This window comes from Homo sapiens, chromosome 7 (assembly GCF_000001405.40).
Source record: "Homo sapiens chromosome 7, GRCh38.p14 Primary Assembly".
NCBI lineage: Eukaryota > Metazoa > Chordata > Mammalia > Primates > Hominidae > Homo > Homo sapiens.
The window spans coordinates 35,781,715-35,800,468 of record NC_000007.14 but is presented as its reverse complement, the minus strand read 5'-3'; the positions used below and the strand labels follow the sequence as shown (position 1 = coordinate 35,800,468).

The window sequence follows — 18,754 nt, the reverse complement described above, 5'->3', positions numbered from 1 at the left end:
TCATCCCTGTTTCCGTGGCTATCTTGACTTTCGGGGTGAAAAGTGAGGTTAGGCCCTGTTTCCCCGACCCTTCCCTCGCGCCATCACACTCTAGTGGCCTGGCACAGCCCCAGAGGTCGGCCGCTGTAGCCCCCATTGCGGACTCGCCACATTCATATTGGCTCACCTTGTCGGTGCCCGGTTCGGTCCTCTTGGAGCTCACACTCCAGTTGAGGAAATGAATGGACACAGGAACTACTGGGTAACAAAATACTAATAAAGGGCTGCGATTGTGTGAGTTTCTACTGTAGCGATGAATGTCGCTGTCATTGGAACGTTCCCCAAGTGCCTTCTAGTGAAAGCCTTACTTCACTCGGAATAACCTGTGGTCTTTTCTTGAACGTGATGGCTCTCTTGGTTGTATTCTTCATGCACATGTGTTACTTTTCCTGTTTAACTACATGTTAAAGAAATGTGTATGTTCCTGTTTAACTGCATGTTTTAAAAAAGTATGTGTATTTTTAAGTTATAGGCACGTGCAAGAAAGTTCAGAGCAAAATAGCTTATATTAGTGAAACAATAAATGTCTACTAATAGGAGAATGGATGAATAAGTGTCATTGTTGAACAAATTGACATACAACACGAACCAAAAAATCAGTGAACTAAAGCTACCATTTTTCATATGGATAGAGTCATTAACCTAATATTGAGGAAGAAATGAAAAGACAGGTTGCGGAAAGATATATATGACATACCATAAATAAAAGTTTAATAATTACAAAAAAGTAAGATCAAACTAAAAATTGTATAAGGAAATGATAGATACCAAATTCAGAATACTGGTTGCTTCCAGAGATGAACAGAAGGGAATGTAACAAGAAGGGTTCATTTGTATCTATAACGTTTGTTTTCTACCAGAAATATCTTGAAAATGTGGCAAAACATTAAGCTAAGTAGAGGGCACATGGGTGTTCACTTGTAATTATTTCCTTTACTGTTCTATATACTTGAAATATTTCCAAGTAATTTTTTTTAAGAAAAGAAACTTATAGAAGCAACTTATTTTGTATCTTGATATATGCCATTTCGTAAGTCTACATTTTTACTGAACTGCTTATGAAGTCTGTTGCAACTTATCTGTTCAATCATTGTTTTAAGTTTCTGAAACTTCAAATGAACTTTTACTTTGGGAAATTTTGTTGAATTTCTATTTTTGAAAAAAAGCAGTGTACCAAGGAGGGTAAATGTATATAGCCTCCGGAGTCAGACTGCCTGAGTTCAAATCCCAGCTCTCCATTTATTAGGCTTGCAACCAAGAACAAGTTACTTAAACTTTCCTGTGATCCAGTTTCCTCATCTATAAACGGAGATAATACTTATCTAACAGGATTTTGATAAGAGTTAAATAGACTAATACATGAACACGGTGCTTAGTCAATGCTTAGTAAATATTACCTAAATATAGATTATTTTAAAATATAAAATTAAAGCAAATACTTATATTAATATAACCTAATAGTCTAAAGGAAGTAAATCTTTGCCTCCCATCTCTATTGATAATATTTCTTTGAGGAAGATCTCTTAATGGGTATGAAAGAGGTGAATTGTGTTATTTTGTGCTATGAAAATGGATAAATTCTTAATAGAAACTATATTAAATTCCTTGTCTGAAGTTTGTTCATGTTCACCCCACACTATGATAGCTTCACTACTTTTCATTGAAAATCACACAGAGTGGCCGGGCGCGGTGGCTCACGCCTGTAATCCCAGCACTTTGGGAGGCCGAGGCAGGCAGATCGCCTGAGGTCAGGAGTTCGAGACCAGCCTGGCTAACATGGTGAAACCCCGCATCTACTAAAAATACAAAAAATTAGCCGGGTGTGGTGGCGGTACCTGTAATTCCTGCTACTCGGGAGACTGAGGCAGGAGAATCACTTGAACCCAGGAGGCGGAGGTTACAGTGAGCCCAGATAGCACCACTGCACTCCAGCCTGGGCAACAAGAGCGAAATTCCGTCTCAAAAAAAAAAAAGAAAAAATTATACGGAGTGTTACAGGCAATGAAATAATGATATTCTGAGGAACTTTCTTTGTAGGGAGGTTTCATAGCCAATGTTCTATAATGTATATACATGTGTTATGCAAATTATACGTGGTGCACGAGGAAAGAGAATTGTATTGATCTTATGATCTCTTTATTGCACTTATTTGCAATATTTATGATCTCTTTATTGCATTTATTTGTTAATAAAATATAGCCTAGACTTTACTGACTCAGAAACAGATTTAAAAAAACTGATCTGAAATTCTGGACAGACCATATAGATGGTTTCCACCACATATTTACAGCGTCCAAACTCACGTGGGCCTTCAACTTTACCAAGCAATGCTTGTTTCCCTAGTTGGCTCTCTCTTAATTTCCACAACAGCCACTTCTGATTTTCTCCTTATTTTTCAAACCACTCCCCTCACTTATTCTCAAATAAGAGAATAGAAAAAAATAGAAACCATCAAAGAGGAACTCAGGCTGAGCGTGATGGCTCATGCCTGTAAACCCAGAACTTTGGAAGGCCGAGGCAGGCACATCACCTGAGGTCAGGAGTTCGAGACCAGTCTGGCCAACATGGTGAAACCCTGTTTCTACTAAAAATACAAAAATTAGCCGGATGTCTTGGCGGGTGCCTGTAATCCCAGCTACTAGGGAGGCTGAGGCAAGATAATTGCTTGAACCCAGGAGGCAGAGGTTGCAGTGAGCCAAGATCGTGCCACTGCCAGCCCTGGTGACAGAGCGAGGCTCCGTCTCAGAAAAAAAAAACAGGAACTCCAACAATTTTATGTCTCCATACTCATTCTTTCAAGCTTCACGGTAGATTAGGTGCCCCCCTGTCTGAGGCACATATCTCTGCCAGTTCCCTGTATTCCATCTCTTTGTGCTCGTTCTCTAGATTCTCACTCCTCCTGCCTTTCCAGGAACTGCAGTCAATGGGTTCTTTATTCAACAAGCTTCTGGGTTCTGCAACTACCACTCCACTGAAATTCTCAACGAGGTCACCAAGAACCTCTTGTGTTCAATCCAGTAGACCCTTTGTCTTATTTTCCTTGACCTCTCTGCAGCATTTGATACTAGAACCCTTGGCCTTCTGCATTCATATGCCTTGATTTGTGAAACCACACTTTCCTAGTTTTTCTCCTAGATCTCTGTGTCTCTATTTTACCTTTCAGGACCCCCTTCTGGCTGTCAAATATCCATGAACCCCAAAGTTGTGTGCAATTTGTTTCTATCTCACTTTTTACATTATCCTTTATGTGGTCTCATTCACCTTCATGGCTTCAGCCGCCGTATATACACTAGTAACTCCTAATGCAAGTTTCTAGTCCAGTTCTCTCTTCTGACTACAAACCTATATGTCTTACTGCCTTCAAAATATCTGTCCTGGATGTTCCAAGATATCTCAAAAATCCCAAACTAAACTCTTTATTTTACCAGCTTTTATGTTTCTAATCTCTAAAAGTGGGTATCATCAACCCGCTTTTGTAAACCAGAAATATGGGTATTTACTCAGCCCGTCTCTCTCTGTCAGCCATTAGAAAGCCCTATCAGTTTTTCCTTCTCAACTCTAATTTTCCATTTCTCTCCGCTTCATTACTATTCTACTTAAGCCATAATTATCTCCTGCCTCAACTCCTTGCAGTAGCTTTTCTGGCCGGTAATACTGCAACTCATCCTTTACATCGTACCCAGAGTGACCTTTCTAAACTTTAACTATGTCAGTCCCCTGTTTAAAGTCTTAAAATTTTCCTTGAAGAAACTTGCATGACACATTCCCTCATTTCTGGCTAATCTGCTATACCTTGCTCACCCTAAATCCTAGTAAGCCCTGCTGCTCCCACTTCACTCTCCTTTTTACATTTGCATTCCTTACCTGGTTTTTCCTTTAAGTCTCAGCTTAACCACTATTTTCTCTAAAAGTCTTCCTTGATCACCAAAAACTAGGCTAGGTACCCTCTCACCTCCCATAGTATCTTGTGTTTTCTCCTATGGTAGTTCTAGTAGCAGAGTTTTGTAAATACTTGTCTCCTATTTAAGAGAGACAAATTTAAGTCTAAACTCCTTAAAGTCAAGATCTCTTGTCTTGTCCACCTCTGTAGCCTCAGCACCTGGCCCAGGATATGGTATTCATTACTTTATTTGACAATTACTTCTTGAGTGATAATTGGATACTAGGCACTAGCACATTGGTTGAAGTGTGGAATGGGGAAACCTCAAGAGGGAATCTCTTGAGATGTGCCAAGACGTCAATGTCTTAATTACAATAATAAGACGTATTTTTTACCTTTTTTGTTCCCATTATTTAATGAGCACACAGTGTCATTTTCCAGAGATTGTGTGAAGTGTGATATTGCAACAGCTTGAATGCAAAAACAAAATAATCCGGCTATCTTCTATTAAGCTAGACATTAAAGGGGTTTGCAAAAATGTAAAGCAATGGCACTCCAAACTATTTCTTTGTTGTTGTTTTGGAAGATACAGTTATTTTTCATCAAAATATGTTTTTTACATTATCATGTAACGGTTTAGTGTTATTTGATGAATTTTAATGAATTGGTTTTTTAATGAAGTAGTAATATTTTAAAACATTCTCAGTTTTAATTTTTAATACAATAAATATCAATAGATATATTTCACATAAAGAAATACTCTTTGGGGTTCTCGATAATATTTAAGAATGTAAAGGAGTACTGAGACCAAAAGTTTGAGAACTGCTGCACTAGCACATATGTGAGCTCAATGTAGATGTGTTAAATTATAATTAGTGAATGTCAGCTTGCCAAAACTCTGGCACACAGCTGCTTAATGTTTCTTAATAAAGGTTCCTCCCAAATGCCCAGACTTCGTGTCTGAACAGGTAAAAATATTACCCAGATTTAACATTTGAATATGCATAAGTGAAAGTATTCTTTAGGTCAGTGTGCTTTGTAAACTATGGAGTGTTATGCAAATATTCTTGTTTTAGTAATTGTCTGTGATAAATATGGACCAACATTCTAGCTGGTAGTAGAACCAGGACTACCTATAATAACCTGAAGATGAGAATTTTTATAGCCAGCCATTTCACATTAATCTCATTTAATCCATATAACAATTTTATGGAACAGGTATTACACCCACTTTTTAATTGAGTAAACCAAAGTTCAAAGAAATGAAATGATTTCCCTTTAGCTCTTCACATTTTATAAGGCTCTGAGACAAGGTTCAGAGAACTCATACTTTTCCAATAAATGAGATCTCAGGTGAAGAGATTTGTTTCCCTATTGTCCTGAATCCTATCCTTTATTTGCTGGACATTAGTCTGGTGAGAGGGTAAGATGATTGTTACAATTTTCAGGTACTTTTTTACCTTTGATGCAAGAAGAAGGACCAGAGAATGGTATTAGGTCTATATGAAGGTTCTATTTGAGGGCCAACTCAGAACATAACAGTAAAAATGAGATGGCACCTCTCAACAGATCTCTCCTGTTTTCTGCGTTACCAAAAATTAGCAGACATGGTCAGGTTGAGTGGTGGAGGGGAAGCTTGAGACTTCAGGTGTGTATTTTATGAACCAGGTTAGGCAATCCACAATATTTTGCTATTAACAGTAACATCCAAGTATCCAAAAAGCCCTTGAGTGCTTTATATTCCTCCTTTGAAGGATATTGGAAGAGGATTGAGAAATTATGTGGAAAAGAAAGAGCCATTAACTAAAACTTTTTTCTTGTGAAAATTAAAGTTATGTAACTTGTTCATGAAAGCTGAAACTAGGGCTAGGCACGGTGGCTCATGCCTGTGATCCCAGCACTTTGGGAGGCCAAGGTGGGTGGATCACGAGGTTAGGAGTTCAAGACCAGCCTGGCCAACATGGTGAAACCCTGTCTCTACTGAAATGCAAAAATTAGCTGGGCGTGGTGGTGCACGCCTGTAATCCCGCTACTGGAGAGGCTGAGGCAGGAGAGTGGCTTGAACCTAGGAGGCGGAGGTTGCAGTGAGCAGATTGTTCCACTGCACTCCAGCCTGGGTGACAGAGCAAGACTCCGTCTCAAAAAAAAAAAAAAAAAAACAAGTTGAAACTAACTTAGTTTTGTATGAATTAATTTTTTTTTCAGGTCAGATTTCAAATATGAAAACTCTTCATTCAAGATATAGCCAGCCCCTCCGTATCTGTGGGTTCCACACCCATGGATTCAACCAACCACAGAAAATTTTTTTTAAATTGCATCTGTACTGAACATGTACAGACTTCTTCTTGTCATTATTCCTTAAGCAATATAGTATAACAGCCATTTACATAGCACTTACCTTGTATTAGGTATTATAAGTAACCTAGAGATGATTTGAAGTATAAGAGAGGATATGTATAGGTTATTTGCAAGTACTACACCATTTCATATCAGGGAGTTGGGCATCTGAGGATTTTGTCATCCACAGGAGGTCCTGGAACCAATCCCCTCTGATACTGAGAGACAACTATTACACAAGAGAAATATTCTACCATTCACAAAATCTCGTTTAAGTGTTGTGAAATACAAACACCAGGGAATCAAGGTAAGTATGGTTTAAATATTTTTATATTTAACTTTTGAATATTTGAAAATTATACATTCTAATGTTAAGTTCATGATTAAATAGCATAGTTATTAGAGGAAAGTTATCTTGAGAACAAAGAATCTAAAATAATTGACAATGTTAATGTTCCACAAATTCAAGGGAATATTGACATGCCCTTTTATAGATTAGGAATCTGTAAGGTACAGGAAGTCAAGTGACACTTGCAAGGCTATAAAACTGATGAACAAAGTTGTTTTTTTTTTTAAATAAAGCCTCATAGCTTTTTTTTTCTGTTTAAAATCAAACTTCATCCCACAAAGGAGGAAAAGCCAAAAGACATAGTAATAATAACAAAACAAAAGAAAATAAAATGAGAGAACCATGCAGCTTGAAGCCCCAGAGAGTTAAACAGCAAAAAAGCAGAGCAAATAACTCCCATTCTTAAATTAGTCACCTCAGGAAGAGTTTTTCCCACCAGCCAAGGAGGGAAGGGGGAGGAAGCAGTGCAGAAATAGGATGTTTGAATCCAGACTGCCTCGGGAGGCCGGATTTATCTCAACTTATCACTGGAGGCTCAAGGAATTTTCAAATTCCAGGGCTCTTCTGGAACCTTAGTTCTAATGCAGATAAGAGCCTCACTTCCCTCTCAAGACTCCATATCACTGGTAATAGACTGGCAGCACGGTTGCCTCAGGGACCAAAGGAAGAGAGGAAACCATTTACCTCGGTGTTCTCTTGCCAATCAGTGCCTTGTTGTGGAGCTATCCAATCTGATTACACAGTAGAAATACTGCTGAACACAATACTGGAGAAAAATCCAAAGTACATCAAAGAAAATCTATTATAAGTGGAAAAGGCCATTGTTGCCAACTCCCTTTGGCATTTTCCTACCATTGACTCAGAAACTAACTGAAATAGGAAACAAGGACACATGGTTCTATGGGAAACCAGCTGCCTTCAACAACCAGACTTAGTATATTGACTTTGGCAATAAGTGAATGCCTCCTGCACTAGAAGAGACTCCTGAAAGTGAACTGAATTGAACTTTAGTAATTTTATGTAGATGAAACATGAGGTTAGAACAAGGCTATGATTTTAGCAAGCAATAAGAACCTGCTCTCTCCAAGTTATCCTTTCTAGAGGACCTCTAATGAGTGGCTGTTTCCTGAAGATGCACTTAGAGACCTCATATCCAGGAAAACAGGAAATTTGGAGAGGAAGCAAATTAGCCTGTGCCAGACTGATCCACTTGCTTTAAGCGAAGCAGTTGCATTGGATTACCATGGAGACTGACTGGTAGAGGACAAATGCTTAGTAATAGTTAAAGTAGTATAGTGTGTCATTACTCCCCTCCTTCATGAGGCTCCCAACAACTCAGAAATTCTTTCCTGTACTGTATCTCTAATCATTTGATATTGATTGGATCCTATTTTTAGGGAGGTACTTAAGCATCTATTAAAAAAAAAAAGCAAATGATGGTGTTTGTGATTGTTATCCATGATGTGCTCCTTTTCATGTGCAGAATCATGATTATGATTTATTTATGGTTTTTGGTTGATACTCCTTTTTCTTTTATTTGCTTTAAAAATTTGGCAGTAAGTGATAACATCTTTCCAGCCAAACACTATAAACAGATAAACAGATTTTATGAAACCAAAATAATTGTCATTTTTATTATCCAAAATGGTAGCAATGCAGCATTAAACACTGGTGTTGAACTCTGGATATTTCACCCTCAAGTTCTTATTCCCAAGACTACATTTGTGTCCTAATAGACTCTAATATCTTAGAGTTGGAAGAGACCTTATAATCTAAATCAGCTACCAAATTCAAGAACTTCCTCAAATATGATTTTTAATGTCATGTATACAGCCCACAATAACAACTATTGAAACTATAAATGTTAGAGTTTGAATTTAAATGAAGCAGCTGTACTGCAGATGATATGATATTACTGCCTAACTCTATGGTTCACATATGGCATGGACATAATTCCCTTTCCCTTTCACGATTTGTGACACACAAGTGAGCAGACTCTTCTGAAATTTTTGTTTCTGATAAAAGTGATCATTTAATTGTTCATTATTTCAAAATACGTTTTTGCTTTGAGCTAAATGTCCATGACATGTAGATGCTATCAATGAATGCTAGACAACTAAAATGTTTTCTTTTGTAAAATCTAGCTGTTTTTGCAAATCTATGAGCAAGCATGACCATGGGTTACTTTTGCTGTGAGACTGCAGACCATGAGGTAGACTAAATCTTAGCTCTCTAATGCAGAACCTAGCATAATACCTTGCACATAGTAGGCACTCAAATATTTATTGGAAATAATTGCATATATTTTGGAGGGTTATATGTGGTTTAGAAAATAGAGTAGAAAAAGCAGCACCAAAAAGGGGCAAAAAAAGTGGAACTTAAATATTGCAAATAGGAAGAAATTGTTATATTATCTTCATAGTTGCTCCTTAATTTATCTCCAGCTTCCATTGCATGCACACACAAACACATTGAGAAAAAAGGAAAAACAACAGTTCCTACACAATTTGCCCCCAGATTTAAAATCTGGCAGAGACTTCTCTGTTTTTAGCATCTCCATGACAGACAAATGAAAGCCTTGGCTAACTCTGCCATTGGCCAGGTTGGGTCAAGAGAACAAATCCATCTTTACTTTTCTTGCTTCAGCCCAGCTGCTTCTAGCCCCTCTCCCTTCTGATCAGTTCTAGATAAAAGGCAGCCCTGACTCTTAGCTTCCCAAGATAGGTACTAACCTATTAGGGAAAAGTATGCACAAGCCTTCCCAGACATATGGTGTTTTTTTTTTTTTTTTCAAGTTTATTGTTTTGAGACAGAGTCTTGCTCTGTCACCCAGGCTGAAGTGCAGTGACACGATCCTGGCTTACTGCAACTTCCGCCTCCCAGGTTCAAGTGATTCTCCATCCTCAGCCTCCCGAGTAGCTGGGATTACAGGCGCCTACAACCACACCTGGCTAATTTTTGTATTTTTAATAGAGACGGGATTTCACCATGTTGCCCAGGGTGGCCTTGAACTCTGGTCTCAGGCAGTCCGCCCACCATGGCCCCCCAAAGTGCTGGGATTACAGGCGTGAGCCACCACACCCGGCCCCCTATAGTGCTTAATCTACCAAGGTGAACTCTGAAAAGAAAAAAAGAGAAGGAAAAGATGATAAAAGTAAAGCCCTTTCTTCAATCACTGGTGGATACTCTCGCTCTTCCTCTCCTTTTGTCACCAATACACAACAATCTGCAGCAAAGCAATCTTTCACTTTACATGTAAAATGATTTGCTGAAGGAATCAATAAGCATAATCCATCACATAAACAGAACTAATGACAAAAACCACATGATTATCTCAATAGATGCAGAAAAGGCCTTTGACAAAATTCAGCAGCCCTTCACGCTAAAAACTCTCAATAAACTAGGTATTGATGGAATGTATCTCAAAATAATAAGAGCTATTGATGACAAACCCACAGCCAATATCATACTGAATGGGCAAAAACTGGAAGCATTCCCTTTGAAAACCAGCACAAGACAGGGATGCCCTCTCTTACCACCCCTATTCAACATAGTGTTGGAAGTTCTGGCAGGGCAATCAGGCAGGAGAAAGAAATAAAGGGTATTCAATTAGGAAATGAGGAAGTCAAATTATCCCTGTTTGCAGATGACATGATTGTATATTTAGAAAACCTCATCATCTCAGCCCAAAATCTCCTTAAGCTGATAAGCAACTTCAGCAAAGTCTCAGGATACAAAATCGATGTGCAAAAATCACAAGCATTCCTATACACCAAGAACAGACAAACAGAGAGCCAAATCATGAGTGAACTCCCATTCACAATTGCTTCAAAGAGAATAAAATACCTAGGAATCCAACTTACAAGGGATGTGAAGGACCTCTTCAAGGAGAACTACAAACCACTGCTCAACAAAAAAAAAAGAGGACACAAACAAATGGAAGAATATTCCATGCTCGTGGATAGAAAGAATCAATATCGTGAAAATGGCCATACTGCCCAAAGTAATTTATATATTCAATGCCATCCACATCAAGCTACCAATGAATTGGAAAAAACTACTTTAAAGTTCATATGGAACCAAAAAAAGAGCCCACATTGCCAAGACAATCCTAAGCAAAAAGAACAAAGTTGGAGGCATTATGCTACCTGACTTCAAACTATACTACAAAGCTACAATAACCAAAACAGCAAGGTACTGGTACCAAAACAGAGAGATAGACCAATGGAACAGAACAGAGCCCCAGAAATAACACCACACATCTACAACCATCTGATCTTTGATAAACCTGACAAAAACAAGAAATGGGGAAAGGATTCCCTAGTTAATAAATGGTGCTGGGAAAACTGGCTAGCCATATGTAGAAAGCTGAAACTGGATCCCTTCCTTACACCTTATACAAAAAATTAATTCAAGATGGATTGAAGACTTAAACGTAAGACCCGAAACCATAAAAACCCTAGAAAAAACCTAGGCAATGCCATTCAGGACATAGGCATGGGCAAGGATTTCATGACTAAAACACAAAAAGCGATGGCAACAAAAGCCAAAATAGATGAATGGGATCTAATTAAACTAAAGAGCTTTTGCATGGCAAAAGAAACTACCATCAGAGTGAACAGGCAACCTACAGAATGGGAGAAAATTTTTGCAATCTACCCATCTGACAGAGGGCTAATATCCAGAATCTACAAGGAACTTAAACAAATTTACAAGAAAAAAACAACCCCACCAAAAAGTGGGCAGAGGATATGAACAGACACTTCTCAAAAGAAGACATCTATGCAGCCAACAGACACATGAAAAAATGCTCATCATCACTGGTCATCAGAGAAATGCAAATCAAAACCACAATGAGGTACCATCTCACACTAGTTAGAATGGCAATCGTTAAAAGGTCAGGAAACAACAGATGCTGGAGAGGATGCGGAGAAATAGGAACGGTTTTACACTGTTGGTGAGAGTGTAAATTGGTACAACCATTGTGGAAGACAGTGTGGTGATTCCTCAAGGACCTAGAACTAGAATTACCATTTGACCCAGCAATCCCATTACTGGTTATATACCCAAAGGATTATAAATCGTGCTACTATAAAGACACATGCACATGTATGTTTATTGTGGCACTATTCACAATAGCAAAGACTTGGAACCAACCCAAATGTCCATCAATGATAGACTGGATTAAGAAAATGTGACACATATACACCATGGAATACTATGCAGCCATAAAAAAGGATGAGTTCATGTCCTTTGTAGGGACATGGATGAAGCTGGAAACCATCTTTCTGAGCAAACAATCGCAAGGGAAAAAACCAAACACCGCATGTTCTCACTCATAGGTGGGAATTGAACAATGAGATCACTTGGACACAGGGTGGGGAACATCACACACTGGGGCCTGTTGTTGGGGGGTGGGCTGGGGGAGGGATAGCATTAGGAGAAATACCTCACATAAATGATGAGTTGATGGGTGCAGCAAACCAACATGGCACATGTATACGTATGTATCAAACCTGCACGTTGTGCACATGTACCCTAGAACTTAAAGTATAATAATAAAAAGAATGATTTGCTGAAGGAAGAAAAAAGTATTATACCTTGACACCAATCATTCCAGCTACTGTAGCTGTGCCATTTTGGGTATATAATTTCTTTGGGAAATCGAAAGAATGTCAAGTATGTGAAGGTAATTGAGGATGGCTGCAGAATGGAATGTATGTAGATCCTCAAGTCATTTCAAGTTTCCTTCCTACCTCTTTCTCAAAGAAGCACATGGATCAGATATGGTGAAAGTTGAGGGAGGAGGCATGGTCAGGAAGAGGGAATATGTTAAGGCTCAGTTGCAAACGTTGTGTTAACTTACCCTAGCCACTAGGTAGATCTAGGGTGATTTAATTGTCTTAATCTAAAGACTAATGTACTTAAAATGATCTACTAAAGGTGAACTATTTACTCCCATCAATCAAAGAAAGAAATGTGGGAAAGATATTCTTGATTTTCTTCTCACTGTTTTGTAGTTTATATGATGACAAGTGGGGATAAGTGAATGGGAAAATACCTTAATAACTTCTTCCTGTAATCTTAATGCCATGTCATGTCAGAATGAGATACATCAAAAAACAAATTGTTCACAAACCTCCAAAGATCCTTGAAATTCCTCCAGGTTTATAATAAACACCATGTTAAAGAAACTGCAACAAGCAAGGAGGGTAAGGGTGATGAAGGAAGAGACAAAGGACACGAGTGGAGGGAGCAAGTGATTAGAACAGCTCGCTCACACCACAGGGGCCCCACCTCAACTCTCTAAATCCCGGGTATTGTTAGACAATCACGTATATTATGCCCAGTCCTCACAAAAACTTCTCAGGGCAAGTATTACTCTTTTTGTTTTCTCATGGTAGAAAACACAGCTCAGAGAAGTTAAGTAATTTGCAAAAGTTGCACAGCTAATAAGCAACAAAGCCCAGTGTTTGGTCTGCCTTATTATGCTGCCTTTCTCCTATTGTGTATATGATATAGAAATAAATTACTTTATCCTGTTGTGTACACAGGATACAGAAAAATTTTCATCCAGGCTGGGTGCAGTGGCTCGCGCCTGTAATCCCAGCATTTTGGGAGGCTGAGGCGGGTGGATCACCTGGGGATCCACCCAGGCTTTTAGAGTGATTCCTCTATTAGTCTTTTCAGACTGCCATAACAAAATACCACAAACTGGGTGACTTAAATGCCAGAAATTAATTTTCTCACAGTTCTGGAGGCTAAAATTCCAAGATCAAGGTGTTAGCAAATTAAATTTCTCCTGAGGCCCCTCTCCTTAGCTTGCAGATGGCCACCTTCTCACTGTGTCCTCACGTGGTCTTCCCACTGTGTGTGTACCTCTGTGGTTTCTCTTCATGTGTCCAAATTCCTTCTTATTAAGATACCAGTCAGATTGGACTGGGGCGCACCCTAACAGCTTCATTTTAACTTACCTTTCAAAGGCCTTACCTCTACAAATACAGTTCCATTTTGAGGACTAGGGGTTAGGACTTCAACATATAAATTTTTGAGGGATGTAGTTCATCCCATACCATTCTCCCTGCAAGCTACCAAAGTCTAGTTAATATGTATACCATTTGACTCGGCAATTCCTGTTTTAGATGTTTGTCCTAGAAAAATAACCAGTACATATATCAAAAGATTTTTTGTTTTGTTTTGTTTTGTTTGAGATGGAGCCTTGCTCTGTTGCCCAGGCTACAGTACAATGGCATGATCTTGGCTCATGCAACCTCCGCTCCTGGATTCAAGCAATTCTTCTGCCTCAGCCTCCCAAGTAGCTGGGATTACAGGCACCCGCCACTGCGCCCAGCTAATTCTTGTATTTTTTTTTTTTTTTAGTAGAGATGGGGTTGTCGCCATGTTGCCCAGGCTGATCTCAAACTCCTGACCACTCCGCCTCCTCTGCCTCCCAAAGTGCTGGGATTACAGGCATGAGCCACCATGCCCGGTGTCAAAAGGTATTTATATAAGGATGCTCACTATAGCACTGATTGAAACAGCAAAAATAGTAAATAACCTAATTGTCCATTAATAGGACAGTTGTATCATAAATTGCAGTTCAATCATATAAATAGAACACTAGGCCTGAAAAGATGTCCATGGTAAGTCAAAAACCTCAAGTTGTAGAAAACTGTATATAGTCTGAACTCATGTTTAAAAATTATATCGTGGCCAGGTGCCATGGCTCACGCCTGTAATTCCAGCACTTTGGGAGACCAAGGCAGGCGGATCTCGAGGTCAGAAGTTCGACATCTGCCTGGTCAAGATGGTGAAACCCCGTCTCTACTAAAAATACAAAAGTTAGCCAGGCGCAGTGGCGGGCACCTGTAATCCCAGCTACTTGGGAGGCAGGAGAATCACTTGAACCCGGGAGGCAGAGGTTGCAGTGAGCTGAGATCATGCCACTGCACTCCAGCCTGGGTGACAGAGTGAGACTCCATTTATAAAAAGAAAGAAAAGTTGTCATCCAGTTTGACATTATCTTATAATGTCATTCAAAGTTCATTACTGTATTTCCTCAGCAAATAAACTACCACCTGTAAATTTTAAAATATATATTAATGTGTCTGGTAGCCATTAGTCAGAAGTATTTGCTAGGACAATTTTGGACTCACAAGTGATACACTGATAAGTAGAAGAAAATTCCGTGGTCTTGAGCTCTCAGTGTTGGTGAGGTGAAGAGTACCAGGAGAGCCACTCTTGTTGACTCTGTTTATTGTAGGGTAGGGTGGTGCTGGTATTTGGAATACTAATAAAGCAGTGACTGGGTCTATCACTTCAGTTATCAAAAGAAAGAGGCTTTGATGGGTTGTGACCACTGATGACTGTCTTTGTGAGAAGCGTACACATACTTATTGTTCCCTGTGAAAAATGAGGACTTTGTATACATAGGCCTGTACAGTGGTATGAAAAGTACTTCTAGAGAATCTCTGAAGCAGCAGAACTCTTGATCAGCTCATCTCCCAAAATCTTATCATTTCCTTCAGATAGCAATAGGAGCAGTTTGAATGTGCTACAGCCTATCTACAAGTGTGATTTCTGGGAATTCGGTTTATCTTCCAAATCTTTCCTATCTCCAGCTCTTGATATCACTTTTATTCTTGTAAGTACCTCATCTTTGTTCAAACGCAATAGGTCCCAAAAGTACAATGTTTTCATCTGTCTTCAGACATGTATTCCTGAATGGGAATGGAGATGAAGAGCATGAGGCTGGTAGTCCCCTCCTAAGGGACTGGAAAAGAAACAGATATAATCAGGAAGGCTGTGGGCACAAAGAGAAACCTGCCAATTTCCCTATGTTGCCTGAGACATAATGCTGGAAATCAAGAGAACCTATCAGTCACTGGGAGTTTATTTCACCTACTAGTGAGGGGAGTGTGGAAATAGCCAGATGCCTGAAGCCTTACATGAGCAGAACCCCTTATACTCCAATGGTCTCCCTAGCTATTGCCCTGGGCGAGCCTGATGACCCTTTGCCCCAGTCCTTGTAGGCACCATGGAGGGGCAGAAAGAGAGGGGCTTTGCAGTTAGAATAGAGTTAAGCTCAAATCACAACTCAGCCACTTACTGGCTGTCTGACTTTGGGCAAATCAACCTGTCTCACAGGGCTAATTATAAAGAATCAATGAGATGACGTGAGTAAGAGCTTCACACAGTGCCTGCTACACAACTGGGACAAAATATACAGTAGATCTTTTCAGGATCCTTGCTTAGCACTCCACCGGAACCAAAGCCCAGCCTTGAACCTAAACCCTGGCAGCTCTGAGTTCTGACCCCTTGCCTAAATCCTGCTGAATTCTCTCTCTAGATTTGGACCCTGTTTTCAGATTCCTTCCGGCACCAGGATGCAGCTTCAGACAAATATCCTGCCTGCTTACACCTGCCAACTACACTCCAAGTTGAAGGCCAGCTTAAGTCAGACTAGAGTCTCTTGGGCACCTTAGACTTAATGACTTAGACCAGTGGTTCTCAGCCTTTTCTGGGACTACCTCAAATTTAAATCCCTCTGTTGGCAGGGCCTGGGAATCTGCATTTAAAAAATTTTGTTTTTATTTCCATAGCTTTTTGGGGGAACAGATGGTATTTGGTTACATGGTAAGTTCTTTAGTGGTGATTTGTGAGATTTTGGTGCACCCATCACCCAAGCAGTATACACTGAACCCAATTTGTAGTATTCCTCACAAAATGAAATTTTTTTTATTATGCTTTAAGTTCTAGGGTACATGTGTGCAACATGCAGGTTTGTTACATATGTATATATGTGCCATGTTGGTGTGCTGCACCCATTAACTCATCATTTACATGAGGTATTTCTCCTAATGCTATCCCTCCCCACCTCCCCCCACCCCACGACAGGCTCCAGTATGTGATGTGCCCCACCCTGTGTCCAAGTGTTCTCATTGTTCAATTCCCACCTATGAGTGAGAACATGCGGTGTTTGGTTTTCTGTCCTTGTGATAGTTTGCTCAGAATGATGGTTTCCAGCTTCATCTATGTCCCTACAAAGGACATGAACTCATCCTTTTTTATGGCTGCATAGTATTCCATGGTGTATATGTATCATCTTTTCTTAATCCAGTCTTATCATTGATGGACATTTGGGTTGGGTCCAAGTCTTTGTTATTGTGAATGGTGCCGCAATAAACATACATGTGCATGTGTCTTTATAGTAGCATGATTTATAATCCTTTGGGTATATACCCAGTAATGGGATCACTGGGTCAAATGGTACTTCTAGTTATAGATCCTTGAGGAATCGCCACACTGTCTTCCACAATGGTTGAACTAGTTTACACTCTCACCAACAGTGTAAAAGTGTTCCTATTTCTCCACATCCTCTCCAGCACCTGTTGTTTCCTGACTTTTTAATGATTGCCATTCTAATCTCAAAATAATAAGAGCTATTTATGACAAACCCACAGCCAATATCATACTGAATGGGCAAAAACTGGAAGCATTCCCTTGGAAAACTGGCACAAGACAGGGATGCCCTCTTTCACCACTCCTATTCAACATAATGTTGGAAGTTCTGGCAGGGCAATCAGGCAGGAGAAAGAAATAAAGGGTATTCAATTAGGAAATGAGGAAGTCAAATTGTCCCTGTTTGCAGATGACATGATTGTATGTTTAGAAAACCCCATTGTCTTAGCCCAAAATCTCCTTAAGCTGATAAGCAACTTCAGCAAAGTCTCAGGATATAAAATCGATGTGCAAAAATCACAAGCATTCCTACACACCAAGAACAGACAAACAGCCAAGTCCTGAGTGAACTCCCAAACACAATTGCTTCAAAGAGAATAAAATACCTAGGAATCCAACTTACAAGGGATGTGAAGGACCTCTTCAAGGAGAACTACAAACCACTGCTCAATGAAATAAAAGAGGACACCAACAAATGGAAGAACATTCCATGCTCATGGACAGGAAAAATCAATATTGTGAAAATGGCCATACTGCCCAAGGTAAGTTATAGATTCAATGCCATCCCCATCAAGCTACCAATGACTTTCTTCACAGAATTGGAAAAAACTACTTTAAAGTTCATGTGGAACCAAAAAAGAGCCCACATTGCCAAGAGAATCCTAAGCAAAAAGAACAAAGCTGGAGGCATCGTGCTACCTGACTTCAAACTATACTACAAGGGTACAGTAACCAAAACAGCAAGAGAATCTGCATTTTTAAATATTCTCACTTACTCACTAGAAGTGCCACCTCACTAATTTTTTTTTTTTTTTTTTTTTGAGACAGAGTCTCACTGTCACCCGGGCTGGAGTGCAGTAGCATGCTCTGCAACCTCCGCCTCCTGGGTTCAAGCGATTCTCCTCCCTCAGCCTCCCAAGTAGCTGGGACTACAAGTGCGTGCCAGCATGCCTGGCTACTTTTTTGTATTTTTAGTAGAGATGGGTTTTCACCATGTTAGCCAGGATGGTCTCAATCTCCTGACCTTGTGATCCACCCCGCTCTGCCTCCCAAAGTGCTGGGATTACAGGCGTGAGTCACTGCCCCAGGCCCTCACCTCACTAATCTTCAACCATTTTTGCTTCCTTGCAGAAGTTTCCAGCAAGCTTTATAACCAAGGCCTTGATACCTACTTTGCAGATATTAAGTGCTTAATAGATGTTTATTGAGGAAATAAATGCTTTCTGTTAGATGATATTTTTGTCACGCAAAAATAATTAGGCATGGAATTTATAAAATAATGTTAAAATAATGACACTTACTAGGTGTTCCATAAAGATTGGTTCATGAATGATTAAAACCTGTTGCATTCAGGATGGATGTTGGGAGGAAAACTATTTGGGAGAAGCGTGTGAGTACGGAAGTTCTGTGGGAGCAAATGAAATGACAGCACGTGGAAGAATTTTATGACGCATGAAGGAATATGAGGAACAATAATGATGCTATGCCATCCATAACTTAGGCTCAGTGCATTCTAATTTGTTCTGTTGAAAAGGAAACTTGAGTAAGCAGCTTTTCACAGGTTACAGTGTGTCAACAGGAAGAAGAAAAGAAAGGGGTCTCATTTACCACCAGCTATACAAGCCCCATAAGGAGACTGTCTCCTCTCTCCTTTTATGTTTTTTTACTTCTTATTATGAAACATTTCA

General features: G+C 39.6%; 1 long non-coding RNA gene across 2 annotated transcripts in view, besides 1 other annotated feature; it reads left to right on the top strand.

Moving 5' to 3' along the window:
- Positions 1 to 18,754, top strand: part of SEPTIN7-DT (SEPTIN7 divergent transcript) — a 45,662-nt gene that overhangs the window by 157 nt on the left and 26,751 nt on the right. For both annotated transcript variants that reach the window (NR_120512.1, NR_120511.1), the window contains exon 2: positions 6,447 to 6,563. This is a non-coding gene — a long non-coding RNA (SEPTIN7 divergent transcript). The remainder of the gene's footprint in view (positions 1 to 6,446; positions 6,564 to 18,754) is intronic.
- Positions 121 to 180: an enhancer, noted in NCBI's record as "active region_25842". NCBI's record gives its function as "activates an Ori minimal core promoter by ATAC-STARR-seq in GM12878 lymphoblastoid cells {active_cell/tissue: GM12878}" and the evidence as "EXISTENCE:reporter gene assay evidence [ECO:0000049][PMID:35858748]".